This window comes from Homo sapiens, chromosome 1 (genome assembly GCF_000001405.40).
Source record: "Homo sapiens chromosome 1, GRCh38.p14 Primary Assembly".
Classification (NCBI taxonomy): Eukaryota; Metazoa; Chordata; class Mammalia; order Primates; family Hominidae; genus Homo; species Homo sapiens.
Window position 1 is genome coordinate 183,069,888 of NC_000001.11, and position 17,750 is coordinate 183,087,637.

Below are 17,750 nucleotides of genomic sequence, written 5' to 3' on the forward strand. Positions count from 1 at the left end.
TGGGTGTTGAAAGAGATAGGGAGGGCATTCCAGGTAGATAGTGTGGACAAAGGCACCAAGCCTGAAAAAAGAATGGCCCGGTTGAATAATTTTAAGTAGTTTGAGATGGCACAGTGCCCGGCACACAGTCTCTTCATAAATGATTACTCAAAGATTGAGTGAGTGGACAGATGAATGAATGGGCTAGATTGTGGCATGTGCGTGGAATTAGGTAAGAGATTCTTAGACTTGATCATAATTGCCTAGTAAATCATTCTTCCATAGCCCTTTTATAAGGTAAATACCTAGTCATAAAGTTCAATCTGTGATTCACTAGTTATATTTGCAAATTATTTAGTCTCTGGGCCTGTTTCCTCACCTATAAACAAGGTAGTTAGGCTTGAGAACTCCTCTATTCCTTCCATCTTTAGAATAGCTATGATTTTAAGTAAAGGGACAGGGACCAACTAGTGCTTCTGTTGGGGGTTCAGAGCTGAACCTCTTCTGCTGTCCTGGCTCTTTAGGCATCTCTCTGGCCTGTCACAGAGGTTGGATGACTGGGATGCCTTGTGGATGCCCAGATGTTCCTGGGATACTTCCAGTTTTGTGGGTGATGGTAATGTCTGTGTGTTCTTCCTTTGTCATCTGGGCCGTGATTTGAAGGATATACTACCATTTGTATTTAATGTCTAGGGTGGTGAGATAAGAGCTCCTATTAGATTTTTTAACTAGAAATGGAATAAATGCTGTATCTAGTTAATAATTAGGAAAACTTTACTCATATTTTTTATTTGGGGCTTAAGGAGAAAATAAACTTTAATTTAGGGATTTTTTTTTTCCTGCTTGAATTCAGTAGGGTCTTCCTCAAAATCTTAAATGGGAGTTCTCAGTTCCCCTTGTAATGTCAACCTCGGCAAATTTCTTCTGTTGATATGGAAAGAATTGTTGGACAGGTGGTAAGGGTAACTGAGCAGTGGGTAGGGATGAGTTCAAAGAAGAGAAATCCTACAGACGATGGTTGGTTGGATGATAAATATGAAGGATTGTGTGCTGATGTATTCCCTGTGGTGGTCTGCAAGAGTGTGTGGGAGACATTTGTTCTCATTTCCTGTTTCATCACAGCCTGCCACCTGCTGTGTCGCTATACAAAGTAACATCACTTTTAAAGATTGCTGTTTAGGAAATCATGTTTTATATGTCAGGAAGCTGGGTTTTTTTTGTTTTTGTTTTTTTTTTTTTGAGTCCCATTAAAGACTGATCCAGGAAGCATCTCTCTATATGAAACTTGGTGTGTATGTGTGTGTTTGTGTGTGTGTTGACAACTTAGGAAATTGGTGATTGATGCAGAAAGGAAGACAATGAGTAACTTGGGATTGTGCCTGTATGGATGTTTTGTCTACACGTGGGTGGAGGAAAATACTTGATGCTGTGTTCTGTAGCTATTACCCTGTGGAGTTTCTCACTTGAAAATTGAAGCTGTGTCCAGATACAGCTGTAATTCAGAATAATAGCAAGCATAGTACTGTCTTTGTTTTTCTGGGCCCTGGGAAGACAAGTCTACAGCTCTTTGAGGTTCATGTGTGACTCTACATTCCGGCCTCATTATTTGGAGGTTTGATATTTGCATGTTTGCCTGCTTGCTAAGCTTTGAAACCACAGAAATCAATCTTTATGGTAGTTTGTGGTCATTTGGGACATCTGCAGAGCAGTGAAAAATTTGAGTCCCTGAAACACACACAGCTCAGCTGAAGTAAAAGGAGGTGATGTTCTGCCTTCTTGTTTCAGCTGCACTGCTGTAAATAAATATCACTTTCTTAGCCTATTTAATGCCGTATTTTCCCCATTTCTGTCCTTTTTATTGGTGATTTCACTGCCTAACATGACCCTCAAGCATAGTGCTGAAGTGCCGTCTTAAGTTCCCAAACACAAGAAGGTGTGTGCCTTAGGGAGAAGGTGCATGTGATGGGTAAGCTTTGTTCAGGCAAAACACATGGAAAACAAGGTTATATTCTGTCCAGTTGACGAAAATGTTGAGACCAGAGGTTTGCAGATGTCAACTTCTGAAACAATGATTCTGTATTCTCTAATGCAGTGTTATGTTATAGAAATACAAGTACCATGAGCAGTAAAAATTGTATTTAGAGTAGAAGCTAATTGGTCCTAGTCATGGTTCACATATCTGGGTGAACATGGGGAATTTTTATGCCTTGTGAAACATATTTTAAAAGTTACCTTTTGAAAATTAAAGGAACTGTTTGATTTGGAGCTAAGAACAAATAATAGCACATAGGTAGTTTGACTTTCTGAATTCTTTTAAGTCTGCTATTTGGAGGCACTGTTTGTCATAATGTGACCATAGTGAGCTTCTGAGTATGGATGAAATCTTGTTACAACACATTCCAAAGACGATGAGGCATGGGGACATTTAATTCAAGTGTTCGTTGCAGGGTCTGCAGACAGCTCTTTGAATATCTTAAACTCCAAGGGTCCTGTCTGACTTATGTATCTGTCTGCTTCCTTAGAGGCCAGCTTCATAGAGAGCCCTCTTTCCTCAGATTTTCAACATTGTATTCCGTTTGCAAAGACCCTTCTTTATGGGTGTGGTCACTTCTAGAACGAATGCCTCAATTGAAGCTGGGAAATGGTGGAAGAGACTTTTTCCAAGTTGCTGTTACTGGGAGCTGTGAGAGACTATTGAGGTGTGATTAATGAATGTCTTTTGGGTATTGCAGGTTAAAACAGGGGTCCCCAACCCCTGGGCCACGAACCGGTACCAGTCTGTGGCCTGTTAGGAACTGGGCTGCACAGCAGGAGGGGAGCAGCAGGCAAGCGAGCGAAGCTTTATTTGTATTTATAGCCACTCCCCGTTGCTTGCCTTATGGCCTGAGCTCTGCCTTCTGTCAGGTCAGCTGCAGCATTAGATTCTCATAGGAGCATGAACCCTGTTGTGAAATGTGCATGTGAGGGATCTAGGTTGCGTGCTCTTTATGAGAATCTAATGCCTGATGATCTGTCACTGTCTCCCATTGCCCCCAGATGGGGCCGTCTAGTTGCAGGAAAACAAGCTCAGGGCTCCCACTGATTCTACTTTATGGTTAGTTGCATAATTATTTCATTATATATTACAAATGTAATAATAATAGAAATAAAGTGCACAATAAATGTAATGTGCTTGAATCATCCTGAAACCGGTTCCTGGTGCCAAAAAGGTTGGGGACTGCTGGATTAAAGGACAGAGTCAGCTGGACATCATTGTAACATCATTGCTTGGTGTTTTAGTAGCATTAAGACTTAAGTTTTGCTTTTTAAATTTACTTCTATATGTTGCTGGAGAGGATTTACTTCTGTCTCTGGTGATATTCAGCTAGGTTTTTTAGAATGGTCTGTCTGTGGGACAAGAAAAAAATCTCAGCTAACAAAATAGGTAGGGATTTCTGGATGTAAACCTAGGAGAAGTTAGGAACCACAGAAGTAAGCCTTAAATGCCTTTTCCAATCTGAAAGAAATAGCTATAAAAACAAAGGTTTTGGCAGGCTTATGGGGAGACAGAGTCAGAGTTCAGGGCCTTTCAAAGATATGTGGTCTGATAACCTCCCAAACCTTTGAGCTTGTTCTCTAAAAAGCTTTTATCATCTGTGTAAAGGGAAAACAGAAATACACCATTCTGTGAGTAGAGTTGGAGCCAGCTTTGCATCACCTAGGTAACCCAGTGGGCACTCAAGCCTTGAACTTGTGTTAAGGTCAAGCCAGTTTGGTGTTACTCCCAGGTGTCTGGTATAAGCAAGTGAACATTGTTTTGGAGCAAGATACTAGGCCTCAAAGTACTCATATATATGTGTATGTCTGTTTTAAAATACAGTGTCCAGCACATAGTCAAAGATGGTTAGGCACATTAAAAAATAGGGCTATAAATGAAAGAAAACCTAGCAAAATAATAGACAAGAGAAGCAGATACCCAAATTTCAGGTATAGAAATTACAGCTGTGTTTAGTATGCTTAACAGAAAAAAGGACAAGTTTGAAGATCAGGCCACTGGAAACAACAAAAAAGTGGCATAGATTACATAGATTAGAAAACAACCTTGTAATTCTGGAACTAAAAAAATCCATTGCTGGGTTTAATTTGCAGGATTTACACATGTTGACCTATAATTTTTCTTACTCCTTTTTCCCTTATCTGATTTGGTATCAAAGTTATACTAGCTTCATAAAGTGAAATGGAAAATATTCTTTATTTTTCTGTTCTAAAAAAATGAAATTATGCAATTATTCAAATGGAATACATAGTAACATTAGTCATATGTATCTTTTACAGACTGACAGGTTAGTGCCACCAAGTATTCACAAGTTTCTGTTCATAGAGTATTTTTATACAAAAAAACAGTGAATTTAATAGCACTTTTTATTCTCTTGAGTTTTAGGGACGTACAACTCAGGAAATGCTGAGTATTTGGAATCTAAGAGTGACATGTGCATGTGTAAAATAAGTGCTGTTATCTAAAAAATACATCATAAAAGTTTACCGTACAGTGTGTGCACCCTTGGACATGAATAGAAGACAAAAGCAATAAAGCCACTTAGTAGTGGTTTACTAAGTGTTCTGCCACTCTTGACAGGGTCCTGGTCTAAAGCTGGCACTGTCAGCATGTGAAAGGCTGCAGTCTGTAAGGACCTGGGGAAGAGAAGACATTTTCTGTATGAACATAATTGTACAGTAATATTGAGCCTGAGTTGCAGGTTTTATAAAGGAAGAGGAGGCTAAGTACTTACTGAAGGAAGAGCTAGACCTTTTCTCTTTATTCTATTATGGGAGATTTTTGACATTTTATGAGTTAGAAAAAGTTATCTTTTTCATTCTGATCTGTTAGTTTTATACCTTTAATCCCCAATCTTACTGTGAATTACTGGAGTCTATTTTTAAAATCTTGGAAATTTTTTATTTAGTGCTGCAAAAAAGAAAAATGAAACTTTACCTGAATACTAGGTAACTGAATAGACATAACGGAAACCTCTTCCATTTATCTACCTTGGGTATATATATTGGCCTTCATCTCATTTAGTTTTTACTTCCTCCCAAATTCAGACACAACCTCAATCCCACTTAAGACTAAAAGAATTATACTGAAACAAGATTTGCCCACTGCTTATATTTTTCTTGTCTAACGGAAAGTATTTTCCAAGATAGATTATTAAAATTATAGATACATTTGAGCAAGAATGAAAAAGAAAAGGGTTACCTCAGAGTTCTGTCTGATGTGGGCTTTTTTTTTTTTTTTCGAGACAGGGTGTTACTCCTGTTGCCCAGGCTGGAGTGTAGTAGTGTGATCACAGCCCACTGCAGCCTCGACCTCTCCAGGCTCACATGATTCTCCCACCTCAACCCCAAGTAGCTGAGACTGCTGGTGTGCGCCACCACACTTGGCTAATTTTTACAAGGACAGGGTTTCGCCATGTTGCCCAGGCTGGTCTCAAAGTCCTGGACTCAAGCAATCCACCCATCTTGGCCTCCCAAAGTGTTGGGGATACAGGAATGAGCCACCGCGCCCAGCGTATCTGATGTTTTTAATCTCTTTACAAGCATGGGTTCCAAGTGGCTATCAGTCCTGTGGTCTCTAAACTTTGATTAAGCATGCTAGTAGTAAAATATTTCTTGGCATACTCCTGTAATGCCTGTAAATTGATTTATACTTACAAATAATACACATATATGGTATAGTAATATATGTATTACAAGGATAGGAAATAGCTCAGAAGGATGTGGCAAAACTAAATATAGTGTTTTTAATATTTTCTCCACATCTCAAGGGACCTCTTGTTTACTCATTTTGGATACTGATGATCCAGACTCCCCACTCCTTCTCTCAGAAACAGGGAATTTACACTTTCTAGAGTTAGCCCATTTCAAGTGTTGTGTTAGTTTGTATAGTAGAGTGATTGGAATGAGTAGCCACAAGCATTTGATGGAGCAAAACTCTCATATTCTGGGAGAGTTTTTAAAACTTAATTTCCTTTCAAACAGATCCTTGAGTTCTGGGTATTTGAAATGTTTGGTTTGTGACTTTCAGCCACCTCCTTTGTGGAGAGGAAGAATAAGAGCTATTAAAATAACAGTTTCTTAATTTCTTGGCACTCTGGGACATATGAAATCAGTAGATTTGACATTATGTTGTCTGGTCAATTTCTCTAAATGTTTCTGCAGCTGTCATAAGCAATGGCTCATAAAACCTCATTCTGTCATTTTGCCAGATCTTATAGCAATGGGTACAGAGAGAACTTTTTTTTCTTTAGCAATTCCTTTCCAACAGTAAACCTGTAACTATGCCTCCACAGTAAAGAAGGATGGATATGAAGAATCCCATCACCCTTTGGAAGTTTGCGTGCTTTCCAAGCTTTTTTTGTTATTGTTGGGCACACTTTATATTCATGCTTTCAGCTTCCTTTCGTTTTCCTTTATCCCTGAGTAGGGAAGAAGGACATTTTGTCTAATTGAGATTTGTCATTTTTAATTGTTAGCAGTAAGGAACAAAAGAGTGCTGCAGTGGGATTTTTGATGAAAAATGAGAAACTTGAGGGAAAGCACCTCAGTAGTTGTACTTTGCTCCTTCGATGTTTTCCATGACCGTTTGTTCATCCTTCTTTACCATCTTTGTCCATCAGCCCAGGGGAGCAGTGGAACCAAGCTGGGTGAGAAGGCAGGAGGGGCTAGCCTCCATTTTCTCTTCCCTAGTTCTTCCCCCTCACACCAGCATATCCTACCTTTGTAGCCCTTTAGGAAGAGACAGTGTACCCAGACCATATTTCATCAAATCCCCCATCAAGACAAAGTCCGTCTGCCACTTGCTTTCCTTCTTTTCTGCCATTTGTTGCCAGTCCATCATGTGGATATACTGTCTAATGTTGTAGGTTTGACCATTGGTTATTGAAGCTTGGATATACATTTGTGTAGAAAATCACTGGCACTCAAAACATTTGTACACATGCAGAAGAAAAATCTCTTAGAGACCCCACTGTGTCTCCCCTTACCATCTAATACCTTGTCCTAAATACTTAAACACAGAAAAATAGTGTAACTTTATACCCAGGTACTTAAAGAAGGACCTCTTGATTTTAGTTGTTACCTAGTGACTTTTCACTGCGGTCTCTTGAAGTAGCCAAGATTGCGTTTCATGAGTTCATTTTGGTAACTGATGTAATTAAGAGATACTTTGGAGAACAGTGTGGGTTGCTTTTGTCTAATTTAGAGAAAACAGAAGAAAGGACCTAAAAGGAAAACAATCTCAAACCCAACTTGCCCCTGCATTTCTCCTTTTTTTTTGAAAAGCATGGATGCTTGGTGAAAGTCTTAGGGAAGTGATTCCTTTGAAGTACCTAGGAGAATAATTATATAGCATTTTCATTTTACATTGTGATCCTGTTAGTCGTTTTGGAGAGGGAAGACTAATGATAGCAGACAATGCTGGCTATTTGCAGGAATGCCTTTCCCTGTATCCTCTTCCCTGTTGCTTGTTCTCAGTGCTGTTCTGATGACTAGCTCTTTTTCCAAACAAATTTTTAATTTTTCCATAGGTTATTGGGGTACAGGTGGTGTTTGGTTACATGAATAAGTTCTTTAGTGGTGATTTGTCAGATTTTGGTGCACGCGAGCACTATACACCACACCCTATTTGTAATCTTTTGTCCCTTGCCCCCCTCCCATCCTTCCCATCAAGTCCTCAAAGTCTATTGTATCTTTCTTAGGCTTTTGCATCCTCATAGCTTAGCTCCCACATATCAGTGAGAACATAGGATGTTTGGTTTTCCATTCCTGAGTTACTTCACTTAGAATAAGAGTCTTCAGTCTCATTCAGGTCACTGCAAATGCCGTTAATTCATTCCTTTTTATGGCTGAATAGTATTTTTATGGCCATTGTGTATATATATATATATATATACAGTAGCACAGTTTTTTTATTCACTCATTGATTGATGGACATTTGGGTTGGTTCCACGATTTTGCGATTGTGAATTGTGCTGTTATAAAACTGATGACTAGCTCTTACCAGTTTTCTCTCTCATGTGTTTGGGGCAATAAGTTGTCTCTTAAATTTATTCAACCCTGACATTATATTTTTCTTATCCCTTAAAAGTTGTGTTTTGCTTTTTGTTTGCTTGTGTGTGTTTGTGTGTTTGCATTTTAGTGTACTTATAAAAGCTTTTGGTTCAGAAAGATTACTCCCAACAAGAATTTTATTATATTTGATATTCTTGACTAGTTATGTATCCTGTTGTTTTCTGCATCTGGAGATAAGATGTTAACTGGAAAGATATTTATCACATTGGAATGTTAGTTGCTTTTTTAAATGTGCTTAAGGCCCAAAGCTCAGTTAATAAGATAGGATCCTCATATCCCAAAATCTTGAGCCAAGGGAGGGAACTAAACCTTTAACAGATGAGCTGGTCAGGCGCGGTGGCTCATGCCTGTAATCCCAGCACTTTGGGAGGCCGAGGCGGTGGATCACGAGGTCAGGAAATCGAGACCATCCTGGCTAACACGGTGAAACCTCGTCTCTACTAAAAATACAAAAAAATTAGCCGGGTGTGGTGGTGGGCGCCTGTAGTCCCAGCTACTCAGGAGGCTGAGGTAGGAGAATGGCATGAACCTGGGAGGTGGAGCTTGCAGTGAGCCAAGATCATGCCACTGCACTCCATCCTGGGTGACAGAGTGAGACTCCGTCTCAAAAAAAAAAAAAATAGATGGAGTAATTTTAACTCATTCTTATGTTGTTGTTTAAAGGCAACACTGTGAGATGAAGGGGATCGTGACATGTAATTCATGTAAGAAATTGTAATAATAGAAGCTTTAATAACATATAAAGAATATTGAGTCTGGGCACGGTGGCTCACCTCTGTAATCCCAGCAATTTGGGAGGCCGAGGCAGGCGGATCACCTGAGGTCAGAAGTTCGAGACCAGCCTGACCAACATGGAGAAATCCCATCTCTACTAAAAATACAAAAAAATTAGCTGGGCGTGGTGGTGCATGCCTGTAATCCAGGCAGGAGAATCGCTTGAACCCAGGAGGCAGAGTTTGTGGTGAGCCAAGATTGCACCTTTGCACTCCAGCCTGGGCAACAAGAGCAAAACTCTGTCTTAAAAAACAAAAGAATATTGGAAATAAGGAGGAGTGAAGAGTGAAAATTTTAATCTCTGTCCTGCTCTCTGGGAGAGAGAGTGCTCTAATTTTAGACAACTAGACATTATTTTTAGACAGAACCATTGCTACAGAAGGGCAGTTTGCCATAATTTGATAGAACTGTTGCCTAAGAATGTTCAACTTTCATTTGTTCCAATTCTCTGCTTATCAAGCAACTTTCTGATCTCTAATCTGGTTTTTTTTTTTTTTTTTTTTTTTTTTTTTTTTTTTTTTTTGAGATGGAGTCTCACTCTGTCACCCAGGCTGGAGTGCAGTGGTGTGATCTCAGCTCACTGCAACCTCCACTTGCCAGGTTCAAGCGATTCTCCTGCCTCAGCCTCCCAAGTAGCTGGGACTGCAGGCACATGCCACTACACCCAGCTAATTTTTGTATTTTTTGGTAGAGACGGGGTTTCACTATGTTGGCTAGGCTGGTCTTGATCTCCTGACCTCAAGTGATCTGCCTGCCTTGGCCTCCCAAAGTGCTGGGAGGCAATTCACCTTCCTCAGCCTCCCAAGTAGCTGGGATTACAGGTGTGAGCCACTGCACGTGCCCAGCCCTCTAATCTGGTCTTCTTTGAGGACTTGTCCTGTGCAGATATCTATTCCCATTGTTTTAACAAAAATAGCTTTCATTGAAATTTTACATATGATTGTTTATGGTATTTAAATTAGTTTGATTATCACAAGTCAGTTCCCTAGAACCTAATCAGCATTTAATGGACTGATAAAAATTCTGAATTTGAAGAGCGGTAGATCAGGTGATTTTACTTGAAATAACTAACAAGCATTATTAGATTACACAGAATTCTGCCAAAAAGAAACATAAATGTTTTTATTACTGTAGTCGTTTTACAGTGTTACTCATGATCTCATTGAGTAATGATAATGCCATCCATGACAATGTCAAAAACGTGTTTTTTTTGGATGGGTGTGGTGGCTCATGCCTGTAATCCCAGCACTTTGAGGAGCCGAGATGGGTGGATCACCTGAGGTCAGGAGTTCGAGACTAGGCTGGCAACATGGTGAAACCCCATCTCTACTAAAAATACAAAAAATTAGCCGGGTGTGGTGGTGCACATGTGTAATCCCAGCTACTCTGGAGGCTGAGGCAGGTGAATTGCTTGAACCTGGGAAGCGGAGGTTGCAGTGAGCCGAGATTATGCCATTGCACTTTAGCCTGGGTAACACAGACTCTGTCTTAAAAGAAAAAAAAATTTTTTTTGCTTTTTAAAAATTGTACTAGCTATTTTTTCCACAGTGCTGTTTAAGTTATCACAGTTTCTAGGCTGTGTCCTTCATCATTGATTATCTACATCCAGATAGCTGATCACTGATGAAATATACATGTGCAAAACTTGGAGATGTGGACACTAGTTTTAGCTGCAGCTTCTGAAGTGGCAGGATGGGGTGGGGCAGGGTGAGGTAGTGGGTATAACTGGAGTCTTCAGCGGATCAGCCCCACTTTTGTCACCTCCCTTTCTCTGGAAGCTAAGGATTCCCTCAGCTGCAGCCTTGGGGCTTAGGATGATTGATAATAACCCCAGCTCCACTTATTGGTCACTGAGTTGAGTCAGACCTGCTGGGGATCAGAGGTTTTGTTTCTTCCTGTTTTTTTTTTCCATACTCAGTAGCTAGTTAAATCTCAACCATTATAGTTTGATGCCAGTGTTTTAAATCCTGTGTTAAACAAGAAACTTACGTTGTTAGACTGTGTGGTAAGGTTTTAGTTTTTAGTTAGTTTTTTTTTTTTTCAACACAGTCCTTGGCTTTGCTGATTTGGACCTAACAGCTGGCCTTAGGACAACTGTTTGGCAGTACTAATGTTCTCAGATATTTTTTAAATGTATTTTATTTATTTATTTTTTTGAGACGGAGTTTTGCTCTTGTTGCCCAGGGTGGAGTGCGCTGGCGCGATCTTGGCTCACTGCAACCCCCATCTTCTGGTTTCAAACGGTTCTTCTGCCTCAGCCTCCCAAGTAGCTGGGACTACAGGTGCCTGCCACCACGCCCGGCTAATTTTTATATTCTTAGTAGAGATGGGATTTCACTATCTTGGCCAGGCTGGTCTTGAACCCCTGACCACGTGATCCGCCTGCATCGGCCTCCCAAAAGTGCTGGGATTATAGGCGTCAGCCACCGCGCCCGGCCTGTTCTCAGGTTTTAATACTTTTGAATGTAAACTGCCTTTGAAAGCCTATAACACAGTTCAGTTGGCTTCTAAAACAAGTGTTTTAAATGAAATTTAGTAATACTGTTTAAAAAATGAATAACTTTATGGCCAGGCATGGTGGCTCACACCTGTAATCCCAGCACTTTGGGAGGCTGAGGCAGACGGATCACTTGAGGTCAGGAATTTGAGACCAGCTTGGCCAACGTGGTGAAACCCCATCTCTACTGAAAATGCAAAAATTAGCTGGGCATGGTGGCACACACCTATGGTCCCAGCTACAGTGAGGTGAGATTGTGCCACTACACTCCAGCCTGGGCAACAGAGCGAGACTCCGCCTCAAAAATAAATAAATAAATAAATAAATAAATAAATAAATAAATAAATAAATAAATAAATCTTTAGAGTGTTTTTAGGTTCACAGAAAAATTAAGTCAAAAGTGCAGAAGTCCCACATATTTCCTTCCTGGATCACCACACACATAGCCTCTGCAATTGTCAACATTTCCTATCAGAATGGCATAGTTGTTATAATCAATAAAACATTAACATGTCATAATCCCCTAAAGTCTATAGTTTAGGCTCTCTCTTGGTGTTGTGCATTCTAAGGATTTGGACAAATGTTTCATGATATGTGCTGTTACAGTATCATTCAAAATAGTTTCACTGCCCTAACAATCCTCTGCTTTGTCTTTCATCCTTCTCTCCTCCCCCACCTCCAGGCAATCACAGACCCTTTTACTGTCTCCTTTCCCAGAATGTCATATAGTTGGAGTAATATATTATGTAGCCTTTTCAGATTGGCTTCTTTCATCTACTTATATGCATTTAAGTTTCCTCTGTATCTTTTTGTAGCGTGATAGCTCATTCTTTTTATCACTGGATAATATTCCATTGTATGCATGTACCACAATTTATCCATTCAATTACTGAAGGACATACTGGTTGCTTCCAAGTTTTGTCAATTGTGAATAAAATTTCTATAAACACATCTGTATACATATTTTTGTGTGGACATACATTTTCAACTCAGTTGAGCAAATTCAAGGGATGGATTACCATACATTTATCATACCATTCAGCAATTGTATGCTAAGAGTATGTTTAGAAGAAACTGCCAAACTGTCTTCCAAAGTAGCTGTACCATTTTGCATTCCCACAAGCAATGAATGAGAGTAGTAATGCTTTCGAATACTAAAGAGATTGCAATGTTAAATGTATTTTTGATGATTTCCTTGTGGAGATATCATTATGGCAAAGGACCATGAAGCACGGTAAAGCAAAGGACCATGAAGGGTCATGGTAAAGGAGGTTACTGGTGATAGGTGTGTGTGTACGCAGGAGTTGAAGGGCAAGGGCTTCCCAATGTTTTCCCATCTCCAAATTACCACAGCCCACCCAGATACTGTGTCTTACATTTTAGAATCACTGCTGGAAATGGAGTTATATTGTTAATGTGATTATGCACTGATGTGCTTTCATTATATTAGTATTGGTGATGAAAGTATCTTTGTCATTTTAGGCATGTAACTAGGCCTGTAAAGATGTCTTAATTGGGGGTTTATTAGGATTAGTGTCAACCGTATGGCAACCATATCCCAGTGCTGGGAGTCAAAGTTAGAACTGTGACTTTGGACATTGCTCTTTAAGGTCAGGGTAGTGTCCTGTGAGGTTCTGCCAGCCTCAGCCTTGATGTGGATAATACCATCATTTGTAATGTTGTGATATGGTGGAGCAGGAGTTCTCTGGCCTCAGAAAACATAGCTTGTGTGAAGTTAGTGAAATGCTCATGCTTCTGCTGTCTGTGATACTGAATCTTTCAATATTTTTGGCCTTAACTGTGACTTGTTCTGGTGGGAGAACTTGGAAGAAGTGAAAAAAGATCAATAACTTTTTGAATTGGTGCAAGACAGGTAAAGAAGAGAAGTGTTGGGCTTTCTTTTACATTATTCTGTTACCATCAAAGGTAGATTCCCTACTATTGCCATATACAAATATTCTTTCATTCCACAGGATTAGAGTTGATGATGGTCTATCTGTCTTTAAAGGTAGATCTCAACTTTAAACTTTAAAGTTGAGTTTTCTTTTGTAAAGTAAGAGTAAAATGGCAAGCAGATGGAAGCATCTCAAGCAAGGCATCCTTCCATCTGGGTGAATTGTAGCTAATGTCCAGAAACAGTAAGAATCACACCGGAACGAGTTGCCAGCCAGCTGCCCATATACTACCTGATGTATGCTGGTATGTCCTGAGACTGAAACTTTGGTATAGGTACTGCTCAGTTAAATGTAGGTCATTCTCACACAGAATCCCATTTGGGCTACCATCTTGTTTCTTTTGAATCATAACATGAAATTTACTATATAAGTATGTGTAAAACATTAGGCTATTTATCATTTTTCCTTTTAGAAGTTTTTTAAAAAGGTTTTTGCCAACTTGAAGGTGTAAAAATTTTAATATAGGTGAAATAATCAGATGTATATTTAAAATATTTATTCATTTACATGTTTTAAATCACATATATACAGAATTGGGATTGTTTTCCACATTCTTAACATTTTACGGGACAATTTTATTCCAGTTTTTTTACATACATCTTTGATATCAGTAGTTATTGAAGTCACTTTTAAATCATCAGCATAATTTCCCATATATTATATTAATTTTCATGAATAAATTGTGATACAGTGCTTTTTTAAATTTGCGTAAGATTGCTGTCACTGGAAGTCACTGGAAGTTTTATCTCAAGCCATGCATACTGATCTACATAACATTAGGATAGTTTTTCTTACTGGTTTATATGTGGGATCTTTACAATATAACTACTCACTCTCCTGCCTCAAAGTATTCTTTAAAAAGCATATTATTGGCTGGGCGCTGTGGCTCATGCCTGTAATCCCAGCATTATGGGAGGCTGAGGTGGGCGGATCACAAGGTCAGGAGATCGAGACCAAGTGAAACCCTGTCTCTAGTAAAAAATACAAAAAATTAGCTGGGCGCAGTGGCGGGCCGCCCGTAGTCCCAGCTACTCAGGAGGCTGAGGCAGGAGAATGGCGTGAACCCGGGAGGCGGAGCTTGCAGTGAGCCAAGATCGCGCCGCCGCACTCCAGCCTGGGCGTCAGAGCAAGACTCCGTCTCAAGAAAAAAAAAAAAAAAGCATATTATTTACAACATCAGCACTTTTAATTTTAAAGCCATACCTACTAAGAATGACTACATAAACCTGGGTTAATTTATTTTTCTCTTAAGAAAAGCAAAAGAAAACGAAACAAAACACTTTAGATTACATATCCCAAATAAGTTTCTGAAACTTGTATTATCTGAAGTCATATTAAGCTAATTTGATTTCCCCACAGTAATTGGTGGTCTAAAATGAAGTACTTGGGAAGCTCTGTAAGAACTAGAAGATAAGACAGTTCTCCCTTTTCTGAAAGGACAACTTAGAGGAGAAATTCTTTCATTATATTAGGCATATATTGTATTTAGAACTAGACTCTGTCCCTATCTGTACATGTATTCATTTAAATTCTCCGTGGTTTCCTTACGACGCATCCTTTTTTTATTGTGTCATTAAGAGAGACAATGCTAGGCATTTTACTCAATGTGAATATTCTTAAAATTCATTTATGAAAACGTCAGGAGAAGCCCTGAAAGAAAATGTAGTTGAGGGTGTATATTTTATTGGTCCATTGTGTCAAAACCATCCATTCATATTTTATTACTTATTCAGAGGAAGAAATGTAAATTTGGCCGGGCATGGTGGCTCACGCCTGTAATCCCAGCATTTTGGGATCACGAGGTCAGAAGTTCGAGACCAGCCTGGCCAACATGGTGAAACCCCATCTCTACTAAAACTACAAAAATTAGCCGGGTGTGGTGGTGTGTGCCTGTAATCCCAGCTACTCAGGAGGCTGAGGCATGGGAATTGCTTGAACCTAGGAGGTGGGAGGCTACAGTGAGCTGAGATCACGCCAGTGCCCTCCAGCCTGGGCAACAGAGTGAGACTCTGTCTCAAAAAAAAAAAAAAAAGTTTATGAAATCATCCATTTGGGCTCAGTTTTTGCTGTTTGTACCTTTCCTAAGGCTTAGTACACCCTGCTCTGTGTTGCTCCTTGACTGGTGGTTTCACTGAATTGTCCCCATTTTTTGTTTGTTTTCTTGTTTGTTTTGTTTTTTGAGTCAGGATCTTGCTATATCACCCAGGCTGGAGTGCAGTAGTGTGAATATGACTCACTGCAGCCTCGACCTCCCAGGCTCAAGGGATCCTCCCACCTTAGCCACCTGAGGAGCTCGGACCACAGGTGCAAGCCACCATGCTTGGCTAATTTTTGTGTTTTTTTTTTCTGTAGAGATGGGGTTTTACCATTGTTGCCCAGGCTTGTCTTGAACACTTGGGGTCAGGTGATCTGCCTGCCTTGGCCTCCCAAAATGCTAGGATTGCAGGCATAAGCCAGCATTCCCGGCTGTATACTTTTCAAGGGGCGGGGAGAATGCATTTGTCCTTATAGGCTCCGTTACTGTAGGCATTTAGTACTGCTTGAAAATTAAATTAGAAAGTAAGTGCCACTTAAAAAGTTTATAAATATGCTTTATAAATTCTAAAGGTGTGGAAAATTGGTGATAATTGGTTTAGCCTCATACCATTCTTTTGCTCTTGTTTTCTACCACTTAGCTCTTTTTCTCCTTCTCATATACCTTTTATTTTTCACACTAATATTGTTCTTTTTCACTTATCACTGGACATTTAAGAACTTGGAGTGCTTGATCCTTAGCATACATTTGTGTCCACTTAGGTCTTTTAGGGGAGCCCTTGAAGGGCACTAAGTATAAGCAGACAATAAAAACAGGAATGCCTATATCCATAAATAAATAAATATATGTATATACAGGCCTCATTTATGCTAAATTACACAATTATACTATATAGTAGACTTGAAATTATATTTTTGTGGAAAGAAGGAAAGTAAGGAGACAAATCTAGTGAAGGCTGCCTTGACTTAACAGTGCAGAATCACTGTGCAGCAATGTGCTTATATGGCCGCGTTGCGATTATAATCCTCCTACATGCATAAGTCAATGGGGTCTTTGCTCCAAACTTGTGGAAGAATGAATGAGCCAAGTAGTGGTGGGAGTTCAGTTTAGTTCCACTGTTTTGTAAATTGGGCTAATTTTCAAAGGTATTCAGACATTTACCTTTTCAAGTGATAGAAGCAAGAGCAGAGAATTCATCCTTTCTTGCTACTAAAGAATTTATTCTAAAACATTACATGTCACTTGTCCCTCGTGGCTAGATGTGGATAGAGATGCTGGATTGTTTGTTTGGAGCATGCAGATTGCACTGTTTCATCTTTTGTAGACACAGAAATCAAGAGTTATCTTTTTTCTTCCAAAGATGGAAACAACTATTTGAGAACCCTATCATTAGAAAATTGTAAGCCTTTAAAATAGAACCTTACCTTCTATTATTCATTGCAAATTATTTTAACACAAACTTACCTGCAGCTGGGCATATAGGACTCGACTGAGTACAGAATATTGGCAAAAGCATTGTAGAGGGTCAGAAAATTACTTAAGTCTGAACTTGATTGGAAATCAGCTGATATTTCATGTCTCTGATGTCCTTCATCTTTGCAAAATCAGTTCCTGTGGCATTTTAGCATTTCTCTAGAACATTACTATGAGAAAGGAAAGTATTGAAAAGATCTAGTAATAGAGATATTTTCAGAAATCTAACAGATAAGATGGTAGAGTCAAGCTCTTTGGAGCTAGATGTATACATTAAAGTTCATCTTGTATAAACTCTTTATTTTACACTTAAGAAAATTGAGGTATGGCTGCTCCTTACTCCCTAGTACAATACTTCTCTCACTGTGTATCTTAATTATTTGTATCTTATCTCATCTGTCATATGGAATTCCTTTAGGGCAGGGACTCACCCTTATTTTATCTATGTATCTTCAGTACTCAGCCTATTGCCTGGCACTGAGTAAATTTCAGGGTATGTTTGTAAATTGAATGAATCATTGACTGAATTAACCAAACAGCAAGTCAGACTCACCTGGGTTCACTCTCGTTCTTCTATTGGGTTGCTGCTTATTTTACAAGTCAGACAGTTCTCTCCCTATAAAAGGCAACAACAAAAACATACCTCAAAATAAAGAGATAGCTGGGGATGAGTCCGGGCCCTCAAAATCTTACGTTCTTATGTGTGTATGTGTGTGACATGTGAATAAAACATGCAGAAAATAAAGGGGATAATTCCAGGTACTGATAATACCATGAAAAAAGTGTCATGAGCATCAGACAGTAATTATCTAAATGTCTTCTTTTTAGTAGAAATCTAACCCCACACACTGGGCCTCAGTCCATCTATCTCACAGAAAGGAAATCCTTGCTACTACCATGAAAGCTTATCACATGCTCATGGCTGAAG

The 17,750-nt window shown here is 39.3% G+C and overlaps 1 protein-coding gene across 1 annotated transcript in view, besides 3 other annotated features; it reads left to right on the forward strand.

Moving 5' to 3' along the window:
- LAMC1 (laminin subunit gamma 1) overlaps positions 1 to 17,750 on the forward strand; it is a 122,173-nt gene that overhangs the window by 46,468 nt on the left and 57,955 nt on the right. The window lies entirely within an intron of this gene.
- Positions 913 to 982: an enhancer, noted in NCBI's record as "active region_2209". NCBI's record gives its function as "activates an Ori minimal core promoter by ATAC-STARR-seq in GM12878 lymphoblastoid cells {active_cell/tissue: GM12878}" and the evidence as "EXISTENCE:reporter gene assay evidence [ECO:0000049][PMID:35858748]".
- Positions 993 to 1,042: an enhancer, noted in NCBI's record as "active region_2210". NCBI's record gives its function as "activates an Ori minimal core promoter by ATAC-STARR-seq in GM12878 lymphoblastoid cells {active_cell/tissue: GM12878}" and the evidence as "EXISTENCE:reporter gene assay evidence [ECO:0000049][PMID:35858748]".
- Positions 4,367 to 4,661: a silencer, noted in NCBI's record as "tiled region #7713; HepG2 Repressive non-DNase unmatched - State 7:EnhWF". NCBI's record gives its function as "represses a minimal TATA promoter and a strong SV40 promoter by Sharpr-MPRA in HepG2 cells {active_cell/tissue: HepG2}" and the evidence as "EXISTENCE:reporter gene assay evidence [ECO:0000049][PMID:27701403]".